The sequence below is a fragment of the Homo sapiens genome, chromosome X, assembly GCF_000001405.40.
Source record: "Homo sapiens chromosome X, GRCh38.p14 Primary Assembly".
Classification (NCBI taxonomy): Eukaryota; Metazoa; Chordata; class Mammalia; order Primates; family Hominidae; genus Homo; species Homo sapiens.
In genome coordinates, this window is record NC_000023.11 from 131581352 (window position 1) to 131587436 (window position 6085).

Here is a 6085-nt window from a genome sequence, read left to right on the forward strand (position 1 = left end):
AAGAACAGAAATCATAACAAACTATCTCTGACCACAGTGCAATCAAACTAGAATGCAGGATTAAGAATCTCACTCAAAACCGCTCAACTACATGGAAACTGAACAACCTGCTCCTGAATGACTACTGGGTACATAACGAAATGAAGGCAGAAATAAACATGTTCTTTGAAACCAACGAGAAAAAAGACACAACATGCCAGAATCTCTGGGACGCATTCAAAGCAGTGTGTAGAGGGAAATTTATAGCACTAAATGCCCACAAGAGAAAGCAGGAAAGATCCAAAATTGACACCCTAACATCACAATTAAAAGAACTAGAAAAACAAGAGCAAACACATTCAAAAGCTAGCATAAGGCAAGAAATAACTAAAATCAGAGCAGAACTGAAGGAAATAGAGACACAGAAAACCCTTCAAAAAATTAATGAATCCAGGAGCTGGTTTTTTGAAAGGATCAACAAAATAGATAGACCGCTATCAAGACTAATAAAGAAAAAAAGAGAGAAGAATCAAATAGACGCAATAAAAAATGATAAAGGGGATATCACCACTGATCCCATAGAAATACAAACTACCATCAGAGAATACTACAAACACCTCTACGCAAATAAACTAGAAAATCTAGAAGAAATGGATAAATTCCTTGACACATACACTCTCCCAAGACTAAACCAGGAAGAGGTTGAATCTCTGAATAGACCAATAACAGGATCTGAAATTGTGGCAATAATCAATAGCTTACCAACCAAAAAGAGTCCAGGACCAGATGGATTCACAGCCGAATTCTACCAGAGGTACAAGGAGGAACTGGTACCATTCCTTCTGAAACTATTCCAATCAATAGAAAAAGAGGGAATCCTCCCTAACTCATTTTATGAGGCCAGCATCATTCTGATACCAAAGCCTGGCAGAGACACAAACAAAAAAGAGAATTTTACACCAATATCTTTGATGAACATTGATGCAGAAATCCTCAATAAAATACTGGCAAAACGAATCCAGCAGCACATCAAAAAGCTTATCCACCATGATCAAGTGGGCTTCATCCCTGGGAAGCAAGGCTGGTTCAATATACACAAATCAATAAATGTAATCCAGCATATAAACAGAGCCAAAGACAAAAACCACATGATTATCTCAATAGATGCAGAAAAGGCCTTTCACAAAATTCAACAACTCTTCATGCTAAAAACTCTCAATAAATTAGGTATTGATGGGACCTATCTCAAAATAATAAGAGCTATCTGTGACAAACCCACAGCCAATATCATACTGAATGGGCAAAAACTGGAGAAGCATTCCCTTTGAAAATGGGCACAAGACAGGGATGCCCTCTCTCACCACTCCTATTCAACATAGTGTTGGAAGTTCTGGCCAGGGCAATTAGGCAGGAGAAGGAAATAAAGGGTATTCAATTAGGAAAAGAGGAAGTCAAATTGTCCTTGTTTGCAGACGACATGATTGTATATCTAGAAAACCCCATTGTCTCAGCCCAAAATCTCCTTAAGCTGATAAGCAACTTCAGCAAACTCTCAGGATACAAAATCAATGTACAAAAATCACAAGCATTCTTATACACCAACAGAAGACAAACAGAGAGCCAAATCATGAGTGAACTCCCATTCACAATTGCTTCAAAGAGAATAAAATACCTAGGATGTGAAGGACCTCTTCAAGGAGAACTACAAACCACTGCTCAAGGAAATAAAAGAGGATACAAACAAATGGAAGAACATTCCATGCTCATGGGTAGGCAGAATCAATATCATGAAAATGGCCATACTGCCCAAGGTAATTTACAGATTCAATGCCATCCCCATCAAGCTACCAATGCCTTTCTTCACAGAATTGGAAAAAACTATTTTAAAGTTCATATGGAACCAAAAAAGAGCCCGCATTGCCAAGTCAGTCCTAAGCCAAAAGAACAAAGCTGGAGGCATCACACTACCTGACTTCAAACTATACTACAAGGCTACAGTAACCAAAACAGCATGGTACTGGTACCAAAACAGAGATATAGATCAATGGAACAGAACAGAGCCCTCAGAAATAACGCCGCATATCTACAACTATCTGATCTTTGACAAACCTGAGAAAAACAAGCAATGGGGAAAGGATTCCCTATTTAATAAATGGTGCTGGGAAAACTGGCTAGCCATATGTAGAAAGCTGAAACTGGATCCCTTCCTTACACCTTATACAAAAATCAATTCAAGATGGATTAAAGACTTAAACATTCGACCTAAAACCATAAAAACCCTAGAAGAAAACCTAGGCAATACCATTCAGGACATAGGCATGGGCAAGGACTTCATGTCTAAAACACCAAAAGCAAAAAGCAATGGCAGCAAAAGACAAAATTGACAAGTGGGATCTAATTAAACTAAAGAGCTTCTGTACAGCAAAAGAAACTACCATCAGAGTGAACAGGCAACCTACAAAATGGGAGAAAATTTTTGCAACCTACTCATCTGACAAAGGGCTAATATCCAGAATCTACAATGAACTTAAACAAATTTACAAGAAAAAAACAACCCCATCAAAAAGTGGGCAAAGGATATGAACAGACACTTCTCAAAAGAAGACATTTATGCAGCCAAAAAAACACATGAAAAAATGCTCATCATCACTGGCCATCACAGAAATGCAAATCAAAACCACAATGAGATACCATCTCACACCAGTTAGAATGGCAATCATTAAAAAGTCAGGAAACAACAGGTGCTGGAGAGGATGTGGAGAAACAGGAACACTTTTACACTGTTGGTGGGACTGTAAACTAGTTCAACCATTGTGGAAGTCAGTGTGGCAATTCCTCAGGGATCTAGAACTAGAAATACCATTTGACCCAGCCATCCCATTACTGGGTATATACCCAAAGGACTATAAATCATGCTGCTATAAAGACACATGCACATGTATGTTTATTGCGGCACTATTCACAATAGCAAAGTCTTGGAACCAACCCAAATGTCCAACAATGATAGACTGGATTAAGAAAATGTGGCACATATACACCACGGAATACTATGCAGCCATAAAAAATGATGAGTTCATGTCCTTTGTAGGGACATGGATGAAATTGGAAATCATCATTCTCAGTAAACTATCGCAAGAACAAAAAACCAAACACCGCATATTCTCACTCATAGGTGGGAATTGAACAATGAGATCACATGGACACAGGAAGGGGAACATCACACTCTGGGGACTGTTGTGGGGTGGGGTGGGGGGGAGGGGGGAGGGATAGCTTTGGGAGATATACCTAATGCTAGATGACGAGTTAGTGGGTGCAGCGCACCAGCATGGCACATGTATACATATGTAACTAACCTGCACAATGTGCACATGTACCCTAAAACTTAAAGTATAATAAAAAAAAAAAGCAGAATGGAGGTAACAGATGAAAGGTTAATTTAACTTGACGACTGACCAATGGAAACAACACAGAAAAAAAAAAATCACTGGTTAAAGAATGTATAAAGCCTCAGTAACCAGTTAGAGAATACGCAACAGTCTAACATAAGTGTAACTGTAATCCCAAAATAATAAAAGACAGAAAATGGGAGAGAAAAATAGTTGAAGATAAAGTGGCTGAAATTTCCCAAATTGAAACAAAAGCATAAATTTTACAAATTTAAGATGTCCAAATCATCAAGTAAAGTAAGCATGAAAAAGGCCATTCCAAGGCAAATCATAGTCAAATTATTGTCATCCAAGGATAAAGACCAAATCTCAAGAGCAGTAAGAGACAAGCAATATTATATGTATGTGTGTATATATGTATATATATATATATGAAATAATTATATTAATTCTCATCAGAAAATATAGAGGCAAAAATTGAGTAGAAGAATATCTTTAAAGTACTGAAAGAATAAAGCAAAACATTAACCCAGACTTCCACATGCAGTGAAAATATTCTTTAAGAATTAAAGAAAAATAGTGACATTTCAAGTAAAATGAAATAGAAGCTACAAAATTTGTCAGTTGCAGAACGTCATTATAAGAAATGATAAAATGAGTTCTTTATGCTGAAAGGAAATTTTGACAGATGAAAACTGAGATTTTCAGAATAGAATAAAAAGATTGAATATTATACATATCTGAATAAGTATCAAAACATTTTTTGCTCTTTTCACTGTAATTTTTTTGTAATTCATGCGATTGCTAAAGTAAAAAGTATGGCATTGTCTTATGGGATTAATATCACATTTAGGTGTAATAAATGTAACAATAATAGTATAAAGCAGGGGTAGGCAAACTTATTGTATAAGGGACCAGATAATAAATATTTTAGGCTTTGCAAGTCACATGGTATCCCTGTCACATGTTCTTTGTTTTTGTGTTTATAATCCTTTAAAAACGTATAAACATTCTTAGCTCAAGAATTATACAAAAACTGGTTGCAAGACAGATTTGGCCTATAGGCCACAGTTTGCTAACCCCTGGCAGATACCCATATGGAAAACCAAAATGAACCTTTACTATTACCTCACATGATACTCGAAAATTAATTGAAGATAGATCATAAAGCAAAAGTATACACTAAAACTACAAAGCTTCTAGAAGAAAATGTAGGAGAACATCTTTATGACACTGGCAATGACAAAGATTTCCTGGACAGAACACAAAATGCACTAATCATTTAAACATGGATAAACTAAACTTTATGAAATTTAAAAATGCCCTTCGAAAACACCATTCAGGAAATGAAAACACAAATCAGTAACAAAAAAAAATTCACGATGTTTATATTTGACAGAATATTATATTTGGAATATATAAAAACTCTTAAAAATCAATAACAAAAAGACAATCCAATAAAAATAGGCAAAGACGAGCATATACTCCACAGAGGAAGAAATATGAATTGACACTATACACTTGTACTCAGCATTATTTGTCATCAGGGAAGAGCAAAGTAAAACCACATTAGGAGGGTTGTTTGTTTGTTTGTTTTGAGATAGGGTCTTGCTCTGTCACCCAGGCTGGAGTGCAGAGGTGGGATCATAGCTCACTGTAACCTCAAACTCCTGGGCTCAAGCCATCCTCCCACCTCAGCCTCCTGGGTAGCTAGGCCTACAGGCTCATCCCACCATGACCAGCTATTTTTTTTTAATTTTTGTGGAAACAAGTTATCACTCTGTGGCCCAGGCTGGAAGGGGGTGATCTTAAGATGAAAAGTGAATGAGAACTCTCTGTACTATCTTTAAAATTTTTATCTAAATCTAAAGTTATTTCAAAATAGTTTTTAAAATTATATTCTACCATATACTCACCAGAATACTGAAATAAAAAATACCAACAACACCAAATATTGGCAAGGACATGGAGCAAATGGAGCTCGACTTTCCTATGTCACAGGTGGGCATGTAAAATTGTACAAACCTCTTCAGAAAACATTTGAAAACTTCTTAAAAATTAAGCCTATGCCTACTCTCTGACCCAGCAGCTAGTTTCCTAGATATTCCCCACTAGGAACTAAAAACATTTGTCCACAAAATGACTTGCACGTAAATGTTCATAGCAACAATATTCAACATAGCCCCAAATCAAAAATAACCAAGTGTGGCATATTCATACAATGAAATGTTACTCAGTAATAAGAAACAATAAATAACGAATATATACAATGACACAGATAAATCTCAAAAATGTTATGTTAAGTAAAAAAAAAAAGATAGACACAAAAATGCATAGTGTATGCTTCCATGCATAAGAAGTGCAAGAACTGGCAAAACTAATCTGGGGGAATAGCAAACAGAACAGTGGTTGTTGATGGGTGTAGAGATTGACCGGGAGAAAACACAAGATAACTTTTCAGAATTGTAGTCATGTTCTATATCTTTACTGAGGTTGTGGTTATATAGTTATATACATTTTTGGAAATTCATATATTTTACACTTAAGATATGTATATTTCACTATATGTAAATTTCACTTCAATATTAAAAAGACAGAAAACATAATCTCAAGGAGGCAAAATGGATTCCTCACAGTTGTATTTTAAATCCATGCAGGTGCCTTCAGATCTAGATTCCACTGTCTCAACAAACACCTTTATACTAGATAACTGATACTCC